Raw genomic sequence first — 24,058 nt, 5'->3', positions numbered from 1 at the left:
ATGAACACAGCAAGCATTATCTCAGGTGGGGGGATTGTGGCAAATGTTTTGGCATATATTCTTTGTGGAATTCTCCAATGTCTTTACAATGAACCAAAGAAGAAATATTTTATAAATCAAAAAGGTAAAACAGAGTCCTGCTTATTCATTGCAAAAAGAACAGCAGCTTCTAAAAATTGTACTCTAAGATGTCAGATAGACATTTGCTCTACAAATCACCCTGTGAGATGTGGATTGCCCCCACTCTGACTTGAACTGAGGGCCCTAAACCACTGCGTGACCAGACAATATAAGACTTTCACTCTTCTGTCATTGACCACAGACAGACCTCAGCTTCAAGGAAAGTGAAGATGAGGGTTGCTTCTCTTTCACAAAATAATAATACTTTAAATGTATTGAGATTTTCCTCTTGAAATTTGGAACTGATGTGTCATATCCCGATAAATGTCATTCTCGATGTGATTTGTAATTGCTGCGAGAACAGTCCAATATGAAGGAGATAGCTGTAGTGCCAGTCTCTCCCTCTGAGCCCCTACTTAGCCTGCAGAGGCAGAATGTGGCTCAGGAGGTGAACCTCAATAAGTGAAGTCAGAGTATAGCTTCTTCTGGAATGTTAGTCCCAGAGCGCTCCTCAGAGGAGGAGGAATTTCTGAAATAAACTGAAAGTTGATGGGGAGAGATTCACGTGATCTGGGAGAAAGCAAGGATGAGATCAAGAATCTACCCAAAGGAATAATACAAGTATCCCCTTAAAACTTCAACCCAACTCATCTTCTCTGACCTGAGGACTTCACAAAAGATCCACTTAGGTCAGCCCACAAGAATGGATAATTGTGGCATTATGTGTGTAGCTATGGGTAGCTGCCCACTTTGGGAGAGGAATCTTGGCTAAATGTCCTGGGATTTCTTCATATACTCTGCAGGGCAGTAGGACAGTGGAGGAGAGGCAAGGAGTGTGATGAAGATAGAAAAAAGGTCCCCTATCCATCACCATACCTTACTTCCCCCAGCAAGGGTGGTGGTGACTGGGAGAACCTGGTGACCTTGAACTAACAGGGTTCTTGGGGAACAAGCATTACGCATGTGTCCTCCAATCCATACAGAGCAAATGGGGAGCCTTGGAACACAGAACAGTCTCTACTATGTTGTTTTCTGCTGTTTCTCCAGGGCCAAGTACAGTACCTGGGGTAGAACAGAGACTCAACAACTATTTCGTGAATTAATGCACATGTGCTGATGGGCTAGAGGAGGTAAAATAATCTCACCCCACTTGATTGAGGGACCACCATGATTTGAAGGCTCCCTGGGTGACTGAGAAAGCCCTGAGCACAGCCAGACTCGGATTATTTCTCCTATTCCCACCAACAGCACTGTCAAAGGCAGAACCCTACTGGCTTCCAGTGACTGGGAAACCCACAGAGTTGAACACGTCCTGGTCAACACATCAGGCAGACCTGTGAGGAGAGCCTCAGCCCAAGTCCTGCGTGCTCACTGTGGGAGAACACAGCCTGGTACAAGAAGGGCTGGGGAAGGACTCCAGATGGAGACACCTTCCGTTTTTCCTTTCTGGAGAGAGCCTGCCAGAAACCATAGACACCTGGGGAAGGGGAGGGGTGGGCTTCCCATTGTGTGTCATAGCCCTGTCCTCTGAACTGGACTTGCCCTCCAGGAGTGGATCTTCTGGATGTGGGAGGGGATTGTTGTGTATGTGTGTGGTGGGGAGTGGGCTTCAAGACATTCTTAGAAAGTGGACACTGAATGGCTTCCCTGGGCTGGCAAAGGTGCTCAAGAAGGGGTTTGAGTTTAGGGTCAGGATGATGGGAGGGGAAGTGGAAGTCATTTAAAGAAGGGGTTTGAGTTTAGGGTCAGGATGATGGGAGGGGAAGTGGAAGTCATTTATTTGCATTTTCCTCTTTTTCATTTTGGCATCTCAAATCTAGCAGCACCTCCTTTCATAGGATTTCATGTAGGACGTCAGGAGAGTGAGGGTGACTCTGCTCTTCATCCTATCTCCAAAGACCCTCAGAGTGGGCAAAGAGAAAGGCAACTACTTTCACATGGAGAAATGTGCCCCATCAAATCCTGATGGGATCTTTTTGACTCCCCTCCTAAGACTCTGGCTTGTAAAATGGACTGAGACACTGAATCAAAATGGTAGCTGCAGACATTTCAGCAGGATTCACTGATGTGACAGGCAGAGCTAAACTAGTTGTTAGGAATGAATGCAGAATATCTACTTGCACAGCCCACAGATGAATATATGCTCCCCACAAACACATTCTCTCCCCCTCTCTTTGTCTCTCTCCCCCTCTCATACACACACTTACTTTTCAGCCTGCTTCTTATTTTTGAGTCACTCTTCCTTGGCCTTCAATTTCCAGAATTCTTTTATCAACTTGCACCTGGCTAAGTAAGGAAAGAGAGAAGCTACTTGAGTTTTTAAAAATACTATACACTTAAAAAATTCTATCTATAGTTTTATTATTACAATATAATAGGAACATAGTCATTAGGCTGGATGCAGTAGCTCACATCTGTAATCTCAACTGTGGGATGCCAAGGCAGGAAGATCGCTTGAGTCCAGGAGTTCAAGACCAGCCTGGAAAACATAGAGAGACCCCATCCCTACAAATTTTTTTTTTAATTGTCCTGGGCGTAGTGATGAACACCTGTAGTCTCAAGCTACTCAGGAGGCTGAAGTGGGCAGATCATTTGAGACTGGGAGATCGAGGTTGCAGCGAGTTGTGATTGAGCCACTGCACTCTAGCCTAGGCAACAGACTCTTCAAAAGAGAAACAACGATGTAATCATTATAGAAAAATAAAATAATAAGCAAGAAAATTTCACTATTATCTTTCCAGAGCAACTACTCTTACTCATATCAAGATCTAGAACCTTCCAGACATTTTTCTATTCTTAATTTTTCCTACAGCAATTTAGATATAGATATAGACAGAGTCACAGATAGATCGATACACATATATATTTTTAAATTTAAAGGTGAGATTATGCCTTTACAATATGTTTTATGAAAATTTATTTAACTTATAAGGGAAAGCTTCTCGGGCCAACAATACATGTCCACAAAAATTACACTAAATAACTGGAAAATATGCTAGTGGAACATTGGCATAATTAACCAGTTCTCTATTGTTGGACATTTAGGATATATTCAAATCTATAAAATAAATGTAATTAAAGCCAAATTTTTAGTTTATCAATTTACAATACACTTTTAGCAGTGAATTTGCCCTTATAGTCACTTCATGTACCTGTTTTCTCAGTAAAGTTCATGTAAATGACCATCACAAACCAGACTTCTTGAAGAATAGAGCCTTGTCCAAAGGAATGAGTTCAAGTTTGATGGGAGAGATGAAGCTGGAGTGTTGTACATGCATTATTGATTGTTGTTAGGAGCAGAATGAGTGACTAAGGACAACTGCAGAACATGAGGAGAGAAAACAAGTCTCACAGGTGTCTCCAAACCCCAGAGGCAGAGCTTTCAAGAAGCTAATGAAGCCTCAAGTTCAAGGACCCTTATTGCACTGGCCCCTTCCAAGGCCCTTCCAGGGAGAGGTCCTAAAAATGTTCTCACATGGTGACATGGGTTTGAAAATTTTGTGGGAGTAAAATATTTTCATTACAATTTGTTAAGATATTGCATCCCTCTAACCCCAACTTTCCCTCCTTCGCACTCCCCTTCATATGAGGGGGCAATGGAGTAGCCCTAGACATTTTTAGGACAGAGCTAAGGGTGCTTTTAGTCAGTTACAGGGTTCCTAGCTACTCCAGTGGAAGAATGGCTTCCAGGAAAATGTGCCCTACACACTGTGTGATTCTCCTCATGCTGAGGCCAAAATTGTAGGACCAGAGGTGAGATTGTGATATGCACACATCCTGTGGCTTCTTCGCCTGAAGACTGTGGGGAGTGGGTGAGAAGCAAAGTTAGAATTGAAGGAACAAAAGCTAGTCTGTGGAAAAGACTATTCTGATGCTCAGATATGGGCAGTTGCATTCCAAGAGGTCTGTTCTCATTGATTCCTCATCAAAATGGAAATTCCTTCCCATAAGAAATACATTTGACAATGCAAATATATCATTATAAGTACAACATACATTTTTCCTTTATGACAGGAGTCAGACAAAACCAAAACGGATTAAAATTCCTCTATTTGTAGGGCCTAAACTTAACAGTACTACAAACAGTGAGTCCTTTTGTTGTGTGAAATCAAATGTTTTGTGCATCCTGATTATTGCTCTTAAAAAAACAAATTTCAATTAAGGAAAGACTGAATTATCTTTCCTCTCTCTATACAAAAAAATGGTTTTATAAAGTTGTTGCCATAGGAGGAGGTGATTGAAGAGAATGTAGAGAAAAAAGCACTGTGTTGGAAGTTAATTAATAAAAATGTCATTATTTTCCTGAATTTGGGAATGTTTGTTGTAGATGTCAGCTTTTTAAAATGTTTACTTTGTTGTGATTTTTTTTATCGTGCAAAATAAATATGTTTTTTACTTAATTCTGCTTGTAGAGTTTTTACATTCTTTTTCTGCAATCATGTGAGCTTATGCTTATCAAAACCTAGATGAACTCCTGGGAACCCCTATATTTCCCAAGTACAGTGCTGGTCACAGAGGAATTTCTTCAGTTAATGTTTATCTATCATACTGACAACCATCAAACTTGCATAGAGCAGATGCAGCCGCACTGAACGGCAGAGAAACAAAAGAGACAGGCTTGTGTATTCCGTTGATAGTCAATGTTCTGTGATTCCTTCACAGACATAGCTGACTACCCTTTTCTTGAGTTTTTTCACTTTTCCTGTCTCTTCAACACTGTATCTACTTTTGTATTTTCACCATTTTCCCTCTTTATCTTTTCCCTCTGCTCCACCCACCTTACTTCATTCTGTCATTTTCCTTCCAAGTCTGGAATAGAGATCTTCATACAAAACTGGTAAATGCAGCAGCTGAGAAAACTGAGGCTCAGTGGCCAACAGTGCCCACTTCTGATACCAGCAAGCTCCCACAGCGTATGATCAATAGAATCTTCTGCATTAGTGGCGTGTGAGACGTTTTCCCCAAAACTGGGAGAGACTATGGATTTTATCCAGTCCCATCCTTTAATGATACATGAAATAAAGATACCCAGAGAGAGCAAGTGACTTGTCCAAGGTCACTGTTGGCAAAAAAGCTGCTGGCAGAGCTGGGACAGAGGTCCAGGTCTCCTGCCTCCCCTGCTGGTGATCTTTCTATTAAACCACCTCATGGGCTGCTAAACCACACTCAGATTATCAGTGCCAATGAGTTTGCTACCTACTGTTTACAGGTCGGTAGGGGATTCAAGGTGTGGGGAGTTCCAGATGCCTAGCCCTGGGTTCCACTCGTGCCAACAAGCAAACTACATCCACTTTATCACCCAGCTTGGTGATTTCTCCCTGAGTCCTGCTGAGTATCAGATGTCATCTTCTGACTGTTCCCCCAGCCCATCCTCTGAGTGTCCACATTCCAGCTCAGAGCTGGGCTTGCCGGTAAATACAGGGAAGATCCCAGTGGGATGGCCTTCAGATGGCCCACCAGGGACCACGGGCAGTAGGGCCAGGAGCCCCCAGCTTTGCAGGCAGTGTTCACAGTGGTGGAACAAGAATCCCACCTTCGGGGCACATGGGACGGAGGTCACAACAGCCAGACCTTGTGTGTAACCCATGACCCAAGCAACCACAGAACAGCCAGAGGTGGCTCAGTCTGGCCCAGGCCATTCTATATCACTTGGAAATATTTCACTGTTATTTCAATCTGAACAGTCTCCCCACCACTGCACCCCTTACCCCAAATTACCAAAGGCATTTGGGCAAACTGGATGTAGAAGGGGGAGAAGTAGGTTCAACTTTTGATTTTTACCATTCATGTTTTGTGTCACACTGGGCTAAGTCCCCTTGGCTTACTACTGCATTTCCTCATTTGTACAGTGAGATCACACCCCAACGGTTTGCGAGCCAACAGGTAGGTTCTGGGAGGCACAGACAACCTCAGGCATTTTCAGTGCCCTGGCCTCATTCGCTTTACTTGTTGTGTAGTTGGCAGTGGGTGACCCTGACCCCTGAGGTCTCAGCTCACAGAGCCCATGCTGGGCATGGGTTGAGGCAGCCCCACCTGCCTGCACCCAACAGTTTTCTTTGTCGTCTTTTGGCCTTTTTGAAAGGTACCTGCTTCCTTGGCCCCATTGCCTGGGCTGTCCCTACAGGCTTCCTGTGATGCTCCCTAACCCTCCAAGACAATGATGTAGAGCAAGGAGGAGCCACAGCGGAGTGAAAACTGCAGATCTGCCAGCCTGTGTTCTCCCTCTGGCCTGAGGGGTGTTGTAGAGGCAGAGGTGGAATCTGCTGGAGATGGTCCTGCAGAGTCTCTGTAGTTTGTGTGTGATTCTGTTTCACCTGCCTTTTCTGAGCCCTCTCCTCCCCTCACCAGGCCTCAGGAATTGCTGTGTGGGGCCTCAGGGAGGAGAGTGGGCTACAAGGAGAATTTGGCAACTGGTAAATCTGTCTTCGAGGATCCCACAAGCAGCAGCGTGGGTGCTGTCCACCTGGCCAGCCTCCCACCACCGCAGGCTTCCGGGATGCTTGTTCAGCCCACATCCAGGAGTGAGAGCCAACCCTCCCGCCGGCCGCTGTCAGTGCGAACCGGACAAGGGCAAGAGGGGAAGGAGGAAGACCAGGGGAAATAGGGAGAAGGAAGTTCTGCAAAAATCCTACCTCCTCCACAAAGCTTCCCTGCTGCATTGAGCTTCTGGCCTCACTCCCTCCTCAGGCTCCCAGAATGTTCCTGGGACCCCCATCATCTTGTATGTGGCATGTATGTCCTTGCTGTCCTTTAATATAAAGGAACCCTGTCTCAACCACACAAAGCCACTGTAAGTGCAGGTGCAAACACCTAGCACAGTGCCAGGTGCTTAGGAACAATTTGCTGACGGTTCTTTCCTTGTGGTGATAATACAGAAGAGGGGAGGTGGTGAAAGGATGGACAACTCAGGACTGGGCAGACTTGATTTCACCTGGACTCCTGAGCCTCAGACCACATGCAGAGCGATTGTTTGCTATTCCCATGAGCAGGGAATCCTGTTCATTTCCATCATCACTGAGAATGATGTGTGTCACTGTGGCATACGGGGGTGTGGATAAAGGGGAGGTGGAGGATATCTAGTGTACAGAAAATCACTTAGCTATCTCTTGACCCCAAAATGTCCTTAATCACTCTCCCTTACCCTACTTCCCTCTCAAGGATGTTCTCAACCAGAATATTGTGAGAAATTTCACCATCTGACAGAAAAATTTGTTCCTCCGTAGGAAACATTGTCCATATTTTTTGAAATGTGTAAGGACTATTGTGTCTACCTTCGGCATCTGTGCAGCCTAACCCTTGAGAAGGGAGAACAGCAAGGCAAAGAGCCCACCATCCTTCTGAAGACACCATGATCCAAGGCAGAGACCCCAAAGTGAAGAACATGTACCATGGGTATCCAGAGAAAACTGTGCTGGTGCATGGAGGAGCACTGGTGGTTTTTAGCAGGGATGTTCCATTTCGATTCTCCTCCTTCCCTTCAAGGAGAATGTGTCGGTCGGGTGCCAGGATCTTGTTAACACTTTTCAAACTCTTAGCTCCTACTGTAATCCCCCAAATAGGTCTTGACACAAGAACCCTCAACAGACTACAGTACCCAGCTCATTCCACAATGTCATTTTCCATTAATCACATTTGCCTTTTGGTCTCCAATATTTAAGGCAAGTAATGCTGCTTTTCCATAGGCATTAGTGACATAGTTTCCTTTTAAAATAACTGCATTTAAGTAAAAAATGGATCTGGCTAAAGAAAAAGTATTAAGTAATAGCACAGGTGTTTACAGATATGCCAAAAATAATGAAAATTCTGTGCTCATGACCAGATGTTGGGAATCAATGGGATGGTTCTCAGGGGTAAGAAGTAAGAAAGCTTTTTATCCCCACCCTGACACTCTTTAATGTGTGGTCTGTGGCAAGCCACTCTCCCTCTTTTCATGACTGTTTCCCTATATGTAAAATGAGGAGAACTGTACTCCAAAGGCTTTTAAAGTATATTAGTGTATTGCAATTCTCCAATTCTAGGATTTTGTGTGTGGGAAGAAGAGAGCATGGAAAAAATTTCAGAATACTAAAGAGAGGTGGAATTCTTCTGCTTGTCATCTTTGAAGCCAGCACAGAAGAGCTTTCTCTTCAGTTTCACTACAGACTGAGACTGAGAAGCAATGCCAGTCTGCTAACAGTTCTGCCTGTTACCCTCTGTCACGCCCTCGCTGACCCTCAGAGACAGAGCAAGCTGCAGCTCCCAGCAGCTGCAGACACAGCAGCTCCTTAGTTCTGCAGATGCACAGCCAGGAGAGGGCTCTGCCGGGTCTGAAACCCCCTTGCTAATCACCTCATCCTGAAATCCGAGGCCCTGGGAATGGCCTGTTCATGAAGGGCTTGGGCCTGGTCTAACAGCCAGAAAATTCCCTGGAGGATCCTTATCAGCCACTGCGTGTCTCCCCACTGTTACAGGTGAAATGAGAAGCTTGGGGAAGGAGCAGCTCCCTTTTCACAGGCCTCATTCGAGTTGGGGGTAAATAGGGGAGGCAGAAGCAAGCCCCCCATTCCCAAGCCCAGGGAAGGAGGACACTTGGCTTTGTTCCCCCTTCAACATTACAGACTTTTTTTAAAAAAAAAGAAAGAGAAGACGTTTGATCTTGGATGAACTTTTCTAATCGTCCTTGAAATTGATTGAGCAAAATGCCTGATTCTGAGCACTCAGAAGTGGGAAAACCTCTAATATGACACTGGGGAAAATCAAGTGAGGGGAGACAAGAAAGGGGCTTTGAAGGGAACAGAGGTTGGGCACCAGAGATGAAGCAGGGAGAACACTGCGGATATGCTAGTGCCGAGATGCAGCTTAGAGCCTGGGGACTCTTCCTTGGACGACACCATATGCGTGTGATGCTTTTTGCAGAGAGAAGTTCTAAAATAAAGAGACTGAATGCCTTAGTGCAAAAAGGGCTCTTCCAATACCCTCCTCCAACAAGGCTTTTGCCTTTGTCTCTAACCAATCACTATGCAATCTCTGGCATCCCCTCAGAATGTTTACCTGTGGACCCGAAGCTGGAATTTGTAACTGTTTCTGTCCATCCTCTGCAGCCCAGCAGCAAATCAAAATGCACACATGGGAGGCCACTGTGTCTGCCTATGTGGAGCAGTGGTGGGAACCGCAGCGTAACAGAGTTCGTGCCGTATCTCCAGATGGCTCTGAGACAGGCAGGGAGGCCAGGCAGATGCCCCAGTCAATATGGTTTTCCAACAGTATCATGAATTCCAGATTTTTATTTGAAATTCCCAAATTTAAAAAATATATTTTGTGTTGGAGGAAATAAACATGTTTGCAAATTTCCAATTTGCAGTTCATTTCATCCATCTTTCTCCCTAGTTTTTGCATCATGAGCTCCATCTAGAAAGAGCTGTGCCCCTCCTTTTAGTCCCTGTCCACACCCCAATCTTTGCTTCCTCACTCTAGAAACAAAACTTTGTACCTATTGAAGTTGAAGAAAAAAGTAGTGCTAAGAAAGTGCTTTACAGTCTCCACTTAGCACCATCCTGTCCTGGTTTCCTGCTTTCTAAGCAGAGAAATGTTCTATTGCTTTCTGTATAGCTCAAGGGCTCAGGAATTGTGTTCAATCAACCATCTCTCCAGCAGTATTCCTTGAAATCCTAGCACCATGACTAGGACTTTGAAGTACAAAAATAATGCATTTATAATGGAAAGAAAAATGGATCTGGCATTAGATCTGGATTTCAGTTGGGCAAAGACAGGGAAATTTAAAGGCATTCTGGTTATAAAAAAACAAATGTCTAAGGGGGGAGTGTGTTGGAGAATGATGAATTGCCCCATTTATCTAGAGAATAAGGTACATGTAGGTGACAGATCGGACAGGGTTTGGGGGAAGGAAGGCACTGGGCCTTGAAAGACAAATTGAGGGCTTGGGCTACTCTACTCCAGGCCTTCTCAAACTTTTACCCACATACACTAATGGTGGCAGGCAATAAATAGATCACTCCTGGGGACCTAGGGATTTACTCCAAAGTAGTGTCAAGCTTAAAATTTCCCTGAAGACACGTGTTTTATTTTCAGAATTTATAATTTTGTAGTCAACTCCATATTTCTGTAGGGCTTTGAAAGATAAGACAGCAGCACTCTCCTCGATTTTTGAGTAGGTTGATGTTTTCAGGGAAATGTTCCATGTTTGTCTCTGACTTTGCTCAGTCCCTGGGACTCAACCATGTATTCCTCAATCATAGATGCATGCCTGTTTAAGAAGTGCCACGTGGGGTATGTGAAGGACAGTGGCATGGTCAGAGCAAGGGCATAGGAAGCTTACTCTGCAGCATGAGGATTTGTGTATGTCCAGAAGCCAGTGAATTCTACAGGAGAGGAACAACGTGGGTCAGGAATCCATTGAGTTCCACAGGGAGGAAAGACCCTGGCCTGGTCTAGGATAGCATCAGCAAAAGTGAAGCAGAAACAAGAGTCTAGGTAACCCTTGCAGGAAGAGCTCGTGGATTCACAGTCTTGCTGACTGGACCAGAATGATGCCTTGAAAACAACTTAGAGAATACTTTTCACCAACTAGGGCATGTGCCGGAGCTGACTGGATTCCAGAATTAAAGAACCAATCCAGCAAGTAAATAACAAATACAGCTTTTCCAGCCTGCTTTGGGTTAGGGCTGGCTTGGAACTAGCAGCTCCTCAGTTCAAAGAAAAGAAAAAAAAAAAACAGAACTCCCCAATTACAACAACAGACTTAAGCCAGGCTTATCCCGTCAGCTCATAAAAGACTCCTTGGACAGAGAGGGATTTTGACTAAACAATATTTTGATGAGTTAAACGCAAATGAATCGGAACCATGTGTGGCCACTTCTCTCCACATGGAGATTACAGTCGGGTGGGGGTGGGATGACGGTGGCGGGGTGAAGAGGGCCATTTGAGATTCTGTCTAAAAAACCAAATCGTGTGAAAAAAAGAAAAGTAGCAGCAGTTGTACCAAACCTACTTTCTCCAACCTTCAAATTGTCTGGGGGCTTCCCTGGCCCAACTTTGATAGATGTAGTGGAGCCAGGCTTTCCAAGTGTTCTGTTTGGCAAATCTAAAGCCAGTACATGCCAGGCTAGAGATGCTCATGGTTCATTATTGAATCCTTTGCCTTCTCTGTTTGCCTGTTTCTATGAGAACACAGCCAAGCTTGGGGCACTCTCTGTGTGAAGGAAGGCAAGAAGAACCTGAATAATCCAATTCCTCTGGAACCCCATATCATCTATATTTAGGAAAAGCATTACGAACTTATTTCAAAAATGATTTCCTCCCTTAACAATGGGTGGCTCTGCACTCAGTGTAATGGGTTTGCACTCTGGATGGTGGGGTGGGTCTGCTGAGTGGGGCGTTGGGTGTCGGGGAAGTCTGGAGGTGGGAACAGCTGCAGAGGGAAGGTAGGGGAGAATCTATAATGTAACTGACTTTGTCTGTGCTTTTGGTTTTTGGAGGAGGAGGAGTTGAATGGAAGACTAGCATGAGGCATGGATAGCCTACCCACTCCTAAGAAGAAGGATTACACACTAATAATTAGGGAACCCACTTAAGTAAAAAGCAATATCAAGAGTTCCTTCTTCTACTAGCACAAGTCCTTTCTAGGTCTCTTGTACGACGTCGTTCAGAGGCGTCATCTCAGCTTTTCACTAAAGCACTTAGAAGACAGCCTGGTTGCAAGCAGAGAGCCAAACCATAAATCAACTCCCATTCACAATTTCTACAAAGAGAATAAAACACCTAAGAATACAGCTAACAAGGGAAGCGAAGGACCTCTTCAAGGAGAAATACAAACCTTGATTAAAGAAATCAGAGAGGACACAAACAAATGGGAAAACATTCCATGCTCATGGATAGGAAGAATCAATATAGTAAAAATGGCCATACTGCCCAAAGTAATTTATAGATTCCCATTAAACTGTCATTGATATTGTTTACAGAATTAGAAGAAACTATTTTAAACACATGGACACATGGGGGGAACAACACACACAGCTTGTTGGCGGGCTGGGGGTAGTGCAGAGGGCGAAGGGAGGGAGAGCACCAGGAAGAATAGCTAATGGATGCTGGGCTTAATTCCTGGATGATGGGTTGATCTGTGCAGCAAACCTCCATGGCAGATGTTTACATGGCAGACGTTTAACAAATCTGCACATGTACCCTGGATCTTAAAACAAAAGTTAAAAAAAAAAAAAAAAAAAAAGAAGAGAGCCCAGGTGGAATATGCATTATGTACATGTTTGTGACTGTTACTACTAATTATTGCCTCTTAAAAAGAATTTCAACATACCTGTATCAAGCAACCTGCTTTGTACTAGGCATTATGCAAGGTACTTAGAATGCAGAGAAAAATGACAAGAGTGTGGGTCCTTAAGAAGTTTACATTTCTAAGTCTCAGTGAGGTATCTTCTTCCCTATGTATTGTGGTTCTGTTGCCTCCATTCTGCAGCCTCTTCCCAGCTGTCCTCACATACCCAAGTGAGGGCTCAGGGAATCCACAAGGCAAGCATTGTGGAGGGGTTCAGTAGGGGAATGACAGTGAACGTCCCACTGGCCTGGGGTTGACAGATAAAAAACAGGTCCCCCATTAAGTTTCAATTTCAGATAAATCGAACTGAGCATCCTGGTGTTTGTTTGGCCAAATCTGGCAGCCTTAACTGTCATGACATCAGGCTGGCCACTGAGAACCCTGGAATCTGCCTCCCAGACCCCCATCCCCTTTTCCTGTGCATTTTTCCCTCTTCCATCAGAATTGTATAACTGTGCTTTCCTCCAACACTACTCTTAAGAAAACATCCAGTGAACTCAGCTCTCCTAGGGATACTTTGATTATAAGCCTTAGTTCTAATTATGAAGTGAAGTCTGTGCCCCACTTTAAAAGAATATTAGGCTATAGTTGAGGGGTGGAAAATACTATTTCAGGCAGGAGGTCTTCCCGGGCCCTGGCAATCACACCACCTTGGCTACAAGCCATGGAGCCCACAGGTGAGGCCACCCTACTCCCACCCGTCCCACTCCTTCCTATTGGCCTCCCGGCAGCATTTGTTTCCCTTTGGGACCTAGGCAACTCCCAAATCTCCACTGCAGTTAGGTTAGCCCACTCCCCTTGCTCTGTGCCTTGGATAGCTTCTCCCGGCTGCAGATAAATTTCCAGGTCTCCATCGTTATGGAAGCCTGATGCCATCTCCTAACTCCCCAGCACCCCCAACCAGAGTGTGGTCGGAAGGCTCTTCCATTGTCCTGGAGCATGGAACACCGCACCTTCCCCTTCCCAGTCCAGGACCAGAGACATCCCCTTTCAATCTCCAGTCTACCCTCATGATGCACCTTGGCTGGGCAATGGCTTTTAAAGAACTGCTTTATTTGGCAGGGACCTTGTGTCTCTACCTTTTGTGAAATATTCTTAATGAGGTGTGCAAAACCTACATTTATCATAGAAGATAGGCAACTGCACAATGATTCATTTCATTCCTTTGGGACATGTCTGGACTCTCCCTGCCTCAGTGAGCCCTCCCAGTGGGAAAGGTAATACCAACTGAACTTTTAACCTTGAGGCTCAAATTCAGTTTCACCCACTCTCTCCCGCACATACACCTTCCCCAGTCAAGAGGTAAAGACAAGTCTTCATCCATTTACTCCCTATTCTGTCTCTGTTCTTTTCTGATAAATGTTCACTGACCTTATGTGACTCCTTCAAGGGCTTGGCCTCTGCTTCCGCCATCTGGTCCTGTCCAGGTGCTTTATTCTTTTTCTGAGCTTGTCTTTGTCAACCAAATCCTACTATTCTTGAATTAGAATGCCTGACTTGACACAGAAAATGCCTCCTACTCCTTCCCAGTGATGGCAACAATCTTACCAGAGGAGAAATTATAGATTTGGGCTCTGAAATCTAGATTATATTGATCCATAGCTAGAATCTTTAAGTGGCCTTGGGCCATGAAGGTGTGGAATATATTAGATTTGAAGCATCTTGAGAACAGAGACTACATTGTATCAATTTCTTCATTCTCATAGCACAAGCTTAAGGCATGGCGTACAGCAGGTGCTCAAACATCACTAATAAATGACTAATTGATGTTCCAGTCTTAGATGCTCTGCTCTTAAGTGAGCATATGAGATGCTAGTGTGGTTCCCCCAGGAACTAAAATGTCTAAGGACTGTTGAAACCTTATCACTTTGTGGAACATCTAAAATAAAAGTTACTGATCCTCAGTAACTGATTAGACATTCTAACATTATCTTGTGTTCAGATTTGGGAGTGACATGTGGGCATCCCTGGAGCTTTAAGAATGAAATTAAGAAGAAACATCAAAACGAAAGACCATTATCCCTAAGCTAAGGAAACCCAAAGACAACCTAGAAATGTGGACAGACGTTAGGGGATACTCAAGGCTACCAGGATGATTCAGGAAGGCAGCCTGGAAAGCCGTTGCAACTAGATGGCTGAAGTGTAATTAGGAATGTGTTGACTGAAGGGTGGCAGTCAGCTCCTCAGAGAGAGCAAGGATTTGGAACTGGTTGTTCAATGCTAGCCAAAGGGGAGATTGGTCAGCAAAAAGATTCCAGGCTGCCCTCATGGTCGTTGACTGTTGCTTCTACTTCAGCTGACCTGCCCCTCTATCTTCATTTACCCTTGTGTATCATGAGGAAATGTCATATTTATACTATGGGAGTTATGCTGAGATCTCAAATCTATGTGAAGTCATGGGAAGCATCTTCTCACACTACCTGATTTCAAGTCTTATTTTCTATTAAGCAGCCATAATCAAGAGAGTGTCATAATGGTGTAAAGATAAGCAAATAGATCAGTGGAACAGAGCAGAAAGTCCGGAGATAGACCCACACATAGGCAAGCAACTGATTTGCAACAAAGGTGCAAAGACAATTCACTGGAGAAAGTATCGTCTCTTCAACAAATGGTGCAGAAACAATTGGATATCCAAAGCAAAAATAAAATTAACGTCAATCCATACCATACATCATAAACAAAAATTAATTCAGGAAGCATGCCATAACTAAGTGTAAAATTTAAAACTATAAAAATTCTGGAAGAAAACATAAGAGAAAACCTTTGTGATCTTGAGCTGGGCAAAGATTCCTTAGATATGATATCAAAAGCAGGATTCACAAAAGAACAAATGGATGAATTAAATTTCTTCAAAAGACAATATTAAGAAAATGAAGAGACAGTTACAGGTTGGGGGAAAATATTTGTCAAACACATATCTTATAAAGGACTTGAATTCAGAATATTATGAAGTACTCTCAAAACTCAATAATAAGAAAACAAACAACCTAATAATAAGTGGAAAAAAATATGTGAACACATACTTCACCAGAGGAGATCTATGGATGGAATATAAACACATGAAAAGCTGCTCAATATCATTAGCCATCAGGCAAATGCAAATCAAATGAAAACCGCAATAATATGCCACTACATACCCACTGGAATGGCAAAATTAAGAAAGAACGGGCCGGGTGCGGTGGCTCACGCCTGTAATCCCAGCACTTTGGGAGGCCAAGGCAGGCGGATCACGAGGTCAGGAAATAGAGACCATCCTGGCTAACAAGGTGAAACCCCGTCTCTACTAAAAATACAAAAAATTAGCCGGGCTAGTGGCGGGCGCCTGTAGTCCCAGCTACTTGGGAAGCTGAGGCAGGAGAATGGCGTGAACCCGGGAGGTGGAGCTTGCAGTGAGCCAAGATCATGCCACTGCACTCCAGCCTAGGCGATAGAGGGAGACTCCGTCTCAAAAAAAGAAAAAAAAAAAAAGAAAGAACTACCACAGGTAACATTGGTGAGACTGTGGAAATACAGCACTCTCATACCATACACAGGAGATGGGAATGCAAAATGGTATAATCACTTTGGAGAATCTTTTAGCACTTAAAAAAAAAAAACTTGAACATACACTACCATATGATATAGCCATTTCACTCCAAAATATTTACTCAAGAAAAAGGAATGTACATATATACATGTGTCTGTGTGTGTGCCTCTGTGTGTGTGTGTGTGTGTGTATACATATATATGAATAGGTAGGTGGGTAGACAGATAGATAGATCAGTCTCCATACAGAGACTGTACATGAATATTTTTAGCAGCTTTATTTTTAATACTCCCAAACTGGAGACATTCTGAATGACCAGCAACAGACAAATTGATAAACTGTAGAATATCCATATAATGGAATACTACTCAGCAATGAAAAGGAATGAACTAGTGATACACTTAAAGACACAGATGAGTTACAAAGTAATTTTGCTGAGTGAAAGAAACAAGACAAAAGAGTGCATACTGTTTAATTCTACATTCAATAAAATACTGTGTAATTCTACATTCAATAAAACAAAAACAAATTGATAGTGGCCGGAAGCAGATCTGTGATTGCCTGGAGAAGGGAGTGAGAAAATTTTAAGCATAGTCCTAGCTCACTGCAGCCTTGAACTCCTGGGCTCAAGTGATCCTCCTGCCTCAGCCTCCCAAAGTGGTGAGATTACAGGTGTGAGCCACTGCACCTGGCCAGGTTCATTATCTTGATTGTGATGTTAGTTTCGTCAGTGTATATATATGTCAAAAATTCTCAAATTGTTTTCTTGGATTTGAAACATATCGTATGTCAATTATGTCCCAATAAAACTATTAAGAATACATATGTCTGAGTTCTGGCAATTTCTCCCTATTTGTTACTACAGAGGTCAAGGAAAGCATTAGAACTTTGGGGAGGGCAGGCTGCTTCAGGACCTGTTTTGAAATGCCTTTCTGTTTTCTTTCATGTTGGACAGGGAGAAGAAGATGGAGTAGTATAATAGGCTACCGTGGCTTTGGGATAAATTAAAACAATTTTTGGGCTGAATAAAATTTGTATAAATTTCCCACAATTATAAGGAGTTCCTACAGATTACACAAATGTTCAGACACACTCACATATATATACTCACAACAAAACAATCCCATAGAAAAAATAATGGGCAAGAGATATGAACAAGGAATCCAAAGAAGCAGCTTGAATCTCTGCCAACAATTAGAAAGAATGAATTTAAAACACATTGATAAAACCATGTTACACCCATCACATTGAAGGAAAAAGCTTAAATATGTCACCACCGAGTGCTGACTAAGATGTGGAACAATACAGTCAGATACTCTGCAGGGTGCACACTGGACAATGAATTTAGGAAGCAATTTGGCAAAGTTGAAGATCGTCACCCCTACGACACAGAAAGTGTACTTCTAGGTATACACCCTAGAGAAATGTTGGCACACGTGCACAGAAAACATGTATAGCAACACAATAGCAGGAAATGGAATGATCTAAATGCACTTTAACAGGTAAATGCAGAAACTGTGGTGTATTCACATAAAATTCTAGACAGCAGCAAAAATGAATGAGCTAGAATTACATATATAAAATATGATTCTGAAAAATACATTGTTCAAGGAAAAACAATATATTGTTCAAGGAAAAAACAATTGTAGAATGATTCACACCATAGAAGGTCATTTTACAGCATGTAAATCCCTATCTTATGTGCAGTCGGGGCACAAACCTATCAATGAAATTCAAATGACTTGCATGGGCGTTATAAACTTCAAGTTCAAGATAAGAGCATTATGGGTGTTTTCAACCATAATCATAATTCTTTGTTTCTTAATTTCAGTTGTGGGTACTTGTGTTATTCTTAATACTGCGTGTACATCTAAAATAATGGAAATTAATAATAATTTCTTGCAAAATAATTACTCTTCACTGTTCATTGCTTCTGTTGATCTATAAAGTGAGTCTACCATTCCAAAGTCAGAGTAGCTTGGGTTTGGCTATTCATCATGCCCATGAATGTATTCGTTACATTTGCATTTGCTTCTCACCCAGCCTTTCACTCAACCAAGCTCCACAACTACGATGAGAGACCCGTAGAGAATTTACAAGCTGAGGAGGTTTGCTCTTGCTCTTGACACACAGTATTAATTCCATCTGGTCTTTCCTGACCTCTAGTCTTCCTTTGTAGATTACCAGTGCTCTCTCCTTAGGGGGTTGGTTTAAATCTTGATTGCTGCCTGATTTCAGGATGTTCAGTGTAGGCTAAGAAATGGGAAAGGTGCTGAGATTAGAATGACTCTGCAGCACGTTCATGCCATGACCCAGGGAATTTGGAATATGTGTAGGCTTTGATTGTGTATTTGTTTTATTTTATTATGTATTGCTTATGTATTATCATGTATTGTTTATGTATTATGTATTATTGATTTTATTATGTATTGCTCTTTCACTCTTCAACATGCTTTCTTTTGGGTAACTGCATTTAAAAGCCTGAGTCTCTATATGAGAAAATCTCCAAATAACTGTGATTAAAAGTCATTCTATTAATACTTGATAACTCCAAGTGTTGGCAAACATGGGAAGATTCATATAAACTCATAAGATGTGTTGGGTGTAGACATTCTTACAATACCTCAGGAGGGTAATTTTTTATTTCTGGTAAAAGGAAAAGTATACTTACCTTTCAACTCAACAAATCTACTTCTAGGAGGAGTCTAGCAAATGCAGAATGTTTATTGCAGGATTGCTAGTAAAAGTGTTAACTTAAAAACAGCCCAGATATCAGTTAACAGCTGAATCAATAAAGAAACTGGGAAACATTCTTAGAGCAGAAAGTAGTGAAATAAATGATTAGATCTATATAGCAGAATGAATAAATCTCATAAAGGTAATCCTTTTTTTTTTTTTTTTTTTTTTTTTTGAGAGGGAGTCTCGCTCTGTCGCCCAGGCTGGACTGCAGTGGCGCGATCTCCGCTCACTGCAAGCTCCGCCTCCCGGGTTCACGCCATTCTCCTGCCTCAGCCTCCCGAGTAGCTGGGATCACAGGCGCCCGCCACCGCGCCCAGCTAATTTTTTGCATTTTTAGTAGAGACGGGTTTTCACCGTGTTAGCCAGGATGGTCTCGATCTCCTGACTGCGTGATCCACCCGCCTCGGCCTCCCAAAGTGGGTAATCTTATATTTTAAATATTTATTATGCAAGCATACATGTTATAGCATGCTGTTTGAGGAAGGTGATATTGTTTGCATATTTGTCTCTGCCCAAATGTCAAGTTAAATTGCAATCCCCAGTGTTGCAGCTGGGGCCTGATGGGAGGTGATTGGATTACGGATGATGTGGAGGTGATCGGATTACGGATGATGTGGAGGTGATCGGATTACGGATGATGTGGAGGTGATCGGATTACGGATGATGTGGAGGTGATCGGATTACGGATGATGTGGAGGTGATCGGATTACGGATGATGTGGAGGTGATCGGATTACGGATGATGCGGAGGTGATCGGATTACCGATGATGTGGAGGTGATCGGATTACGGATGATGTGGAGGTGATCGGATTACGGATGATGTGGAGGTGATCGGATTACGGATGATGTGGAGGTGATCGGATTACGGATGATGTGGAGGTGATCGGATTACGGATGATGTGGAGGTGATTGGATTACGGATGATGTGGATTTCTCGTGAATGGTTTGGCACCATCCCCTTGGTGCCGTTCTTGTGATAATCAGTGAGTTTTCATGAGATGCGGTAACTTAAAAGTGTGTGGTGGGTGGGAGCGGTGGCTCATGCCTATAATCCCAACACTTTGGGAGGCTGAGGCAGGTGGATCACAAGGTCAAGAGATCGAGACCATCCTGGTCAACATGGTGAAACCCCGTCTCTACTAAAAATACAAAAATTAACAGGGCGTGGTGGCACGTGCATGTAGTCCCAGCTACTCTAGAGGCTGAGGCAAGAGAATCGCTTGAACCCAGGAGGCGGAGGTTGCAGTGAGCCGAGATGGCGCCACTGCACTCCAGCCCAGAAACGGAGTGAGACTCGGTCTCAAGAAAAAAAAAAAAAAAGAAAAGTGTGTGGGACTTCCTTTTTATACCCTGTCTTTCTTGCTCCTGCTTTTGCCATGTGATGTGCCTGCTCCTCCTTTACCTTCTTCCATGATTGGAAGCTTCCTGTGGCCAGAAGCAGATGCACTGTGCTTCCTGTACAGCCTGCAGGACCATGAACCAATTAAACCTCTTTTTTAATAAATTACCCGCTCTCAGATATTTCCTTATAGCAGTGCAAGAACAGCCTAATACAGAAGGTTTAAAGCTATGAAAACTAATACTGTATATCACGTGAGGATACATACACATAACGTAGTAGAAACAAATGTGGGCGGAAGTACTAAACTTGAAGTTCAGGTAGTAAACATTTTTGGTGGGGGAAGTAGAAAAATCAGATCAGAAAAGCATTTACTCAGGGAACTCAAATGTATCTGTGACATTTTATTGCAAATGTTTTAAAGTAAAGGTTTTAATTCAGTAGTCATCTCTAAAATGGACATTTTCTTATACAACCATAATGTTATCCAATCTAACAGAATTATTTATAACTTTTGTTATCACCTAAAATATATAATTCGTATTAAATTTCCACAATTGCCTCAAAAATATCTTTTGACACTAGCTTGTACAAATCAGGATCCAAGCAAGGCACACAGGTTAAGTTTTGTTTTAATGTCTCTTAAATTGCTTCAAACGGAGAGCAGGACTCCATTCTCCCTTATCACCCTGGAACTCCCTAACACACACTTTTTCCGTATTTTCCTTGTTATGAAAGATGGATCAAGCTGTCCTCTGGACTGCCTCCCATTCTGGATTTCTCTGTTTGCTTTCTCCTGCTGCCATTTAACTTGTTTCTTCTCCTTCTATGTTCCCCACAGAAACAATGTGTGAGATTTGGTTAAATTCAGATTTAATGTTTTTTTTTTTTTTTTGCAAGAGCACTTCCTAAGTTATGCTGTGTACTTCCATTGTGCCATATTGGCAGGCACACTATGTTTTAGTAATGGCAAAATTGGTGAAGATGGATAAAGATGGGGGCAGCCTCATTCCTCCACTGCAATGGTCCCTGACAACCTTTCATTTAATAGTTTCATCCATTGATGATCGTTGCCTGCAGTGATGACTTCATTTGTGCATATACAATGGTACTTGTCAAGTTAGATTGCATTACACTGAATTCTTCACTTAAAAAATTTTTCTTCATCTACAAGGGCTATTTAGTTATCCTGAAATATAGTTCACAACAGGAAGTCGGGTAGCACACTTGATTATTCCCTTTTAAAGACCAATTTTCAGAATTAAGAGTTAATGCTTTCTCTCTTTAAAACAAAAAACTCAAAAAAATATGGCTAAGTTTTAAGATTTTGTAATGCTGGGTGGTAAAAAGTATAAAACTATAAAAATATTAAAAGGTATTTATAACTATTCTCTAAACCTTTCTAAACTTCAAAACATTTTATGCTGAAATATTTAATTAAACAAGAAAAAAAGTCCTATTTTGTAAAGTTCAAAATATGCTTAGTGTTCAAATGACATTTAAAAAGAAGCTTGACCTAAGCTTTAGGAGTAAAAGTTATCTAAAAGTTTTAGTTGGATGATTGGAATTTGTTTTAAAAGTTTAAAAAAGGGAAAACAGAAATAAGCTAATAATATATACCAGAAGAGTGAGGAGACACAAAGAAAATGCAACCACTCAACCCTGTGGGGAATGGAGGGAGCGTGTGGGATCCACTGCCCAGCCCAGGGAGTCTCCCTACAGTCCAACTGCCTTTCTCAGATCAGAAGGCAAAAGAGCAGTCTAGCAAGCAAACAAACAGCAACAACAACAAAAGTACTGAAAGTTTTCTAGAAAGGCCAGACTCAGGAGCAGAGAAGAGGCACAGTGGGCAGTGCCAGTGAGAGGCATGAGTCCTGAGTCAGCTGGGATGTCCAGGGAGCTGGCCAAGGGCCTCAAGAGGAGGGTAGAAGGAAAATGGTATCCTGACACCTGCTGGAAAGAGCACTGGCAGAAAAGGCTCCAGGAATGCATTCAAGGGACTTCTATTTAGGGACCTAAGAAGGAAATGCAAGCATCAATTTAGTTAAGCAGAGCTGGATTCAGATGAAACTTGAGGAAAAGCAATGAGACTAGAATAGGGTTGAAGAACTAGGGCTGAGTAGTCTGGAAAACCAGAGTTTGAATCCCGATTCTACACTTCCCAGTTGGGTAGCCCTAAGCCTGTTACTTAACCACGGTAAGTTTCAGTTTCCTTATTTACAAAATAGGATAAAAATACCTCTTCATAGAGTGTTGTAAGGATTAAGTGGGATGACTGTGTCATAACATAACAAAGTAGTGTTTGAACAAGCATAGTTTGTATTCTCACTAGTATTATTACTCCTAGAGGCAGGAAGCAGAGAAAGGCCTAGGCAGATAGGGAAGGGTCCTCAAAGAATCTCCATCCCACCCCCAAAAGTGTTTACACTAGATGTTTTGTGCACGTAGGGAACCTGCACAGATTCTTGCCTGGGCATGCCCACAGTGGACTGGAAGCCCACATGCACTGGGGGAATGGGGTGGAGCCACCGGAAATCCACGCCTTATGCAGGGGAAGAGCCTGGCCTCTTCAGCTCGTGTGTGGTGGCCCTGGTATTCATTTTGGGGAGGGGGTGGAAACTTGCTTGTACGACCCCCTGTCTTTACTGAGAACTTTCTTTTCACTTAATAAATTCTATCCTCCTCACCCTTCATTGTGTCCGCATCCCTCATTCTTCCTGTTCATGAGACAAAAACCTAGATTAGCTGAGCTAAGGAGCAAAAAATCCTGCATCTTTACCATTCTTATAATATTAATTTCAATGTATAAATCTAAATCTATATCAGTTGACACCAATGCCGTACTATATTATACAAGCAATTCAAGTAGGACAGTCAGGCCATTGTTTGGATCATTACTGTATCATACCATGTTCTAAAATAATCTTCACTAAAAGTATATTTGTGAGAATAAGGATGAGAAAGTCTGTGTGTATGTATGCATGTTTATGGACATGGCAAGATTCACAGGGTGGCTCAAGATGGTTCCAGAGAGCTCTTTCTGTGAAAGAGGGAGGGAGGGAGGAAGGGACCTGTGGTCAAGAGACTTTACCTCTTTGGTCCCTTGTTTCCTTATTGGTAGAAATACATAGACATGGGGTAGGTACCTGTTAAATAAATGTTATTTCCACAGCATTTTACTCTCTGCACGCACCTGGCAGAATAAGGACCTCCAGTACAAATCATATTTGACTACACTCCCGGTGAAAATGCTACTTAATTATCCTGCAAAAATTCAGGAATTGGGTCAGCAAGTACATACTTATGCCACTTTACATCACAAACACATTCTGATGTATGAGCTGGATCATTGGGAAGGTGGTATTTCAAAGTGGCAGGGAAATAACTTGAAAGCTCTGAAATCCATTGTGAATGTGAGCCAGCCACCCTCACCAAGGCCCTGGGCCTCCATCCAGGGAGGCCTCCCCAAGACAAGTGCCTGCTGCCCTGTTCTCTGCCTGCTCCCTCCTGCTCTCCAGGGCTGCTGTGTCTGTCTCTTTTCCTTGGCCTCCTCTGTCTTGCTTCCTCTGAATTCTCCCCTTTTCACCTTTCTCAGCTTGATGTAATCTGCTGTAATGAATCAGCAGTAGCCCAGAAGTCTTTGCTCCCTGGTAGTCATAGCTGCTTATAGGGCTTATTGGCTATGGAGGCCTGAGCCCACCACTGAGAAGCTGATTTACAAGTGGGCCCTTTCTGCATCTCTCTTCTTTGTCTTTTCCCCTGCAGTGATGCAGGTTAAAAAATCCTAGAAATGTCCAACTACACCAGGAAACCCATCCTCCTTTCTCTGATGGCCTGAACAAGGGAGAGATGGGGTCTGGCAGCCCCTCAGGAGGGTGCTGTTCCCCAAGTAGGACCCCCCGCCCCCAGCATGACTTTGTTTTTCTTTAACAAATGAGAACTGTCAGAGAAATGGCAAACAGCCATGCCTTGGAGTGATTAAGTAGAGCCTAAGTTTAGAGGGGTTGGC

At 42.9% G+C, this 24,058-nt stretch overlaps 1 long non-coding RNA gene across 2 annotated transcripts in view, besides 1 other annotated feature; it reads right to left on the bottom strand.

Annotated features, from left to right (window-relative positions):
• The window catches only part of LOC105369617 (uncharacterized), a 257,798-nt gene that overhangs the window by 217,032 nt on the left and 16,708 nt on the right, over positions 1 to 24,058 (bottom strand). For both annotated transcript variants that reach the window (NR_188065.1, NR_188066.1), the window contains exon 2: positions 2,328 to 2,406. This is a non-coding gene — a long non-coding RNA (uncharacterized LOC105369617). The remainder of the gene's footprint in view (positions 1 to 2,327; positions 2,407 to 24,058) is intronic.
• Positions 21,938 to 23,137: an enhancer, noted in NCBI's record as "MED14-independent group 3 enhancer chr12:5248742-5249941 (GRCh37/hg19 assembly coordinates)". NCBI's record gives its function as "activates an origin of replication core promoter dependent on BRD2, BRD4, P300/CBP and CDK7 cofactors, and independent of MED14, by STARR-seq in HCT116 cells {active_cell/tissue: HCT116}" and the evidence as "EXISTENCE:reporter gene assay evidence [ECO:0000049][PMID:35650434]".

Source organism: Homo sapiens, chromosome 12, assembly GCF_000001405.40.
Source record: "Homo sapiens chromosome 12, GRCh38.p14 Primary Assembly".
Classification (NCBI taxonomy): domain Eukaryota; kingdom Metazoa; phylum Chordata; class Mammalia; order Primates; family Hominidae; genus Homo; species Homo sapiens.
Note: the sequence above shows the minus strand (reverse complement) of the source record. Positions and strands in the feature narration are given on the sequence as shown.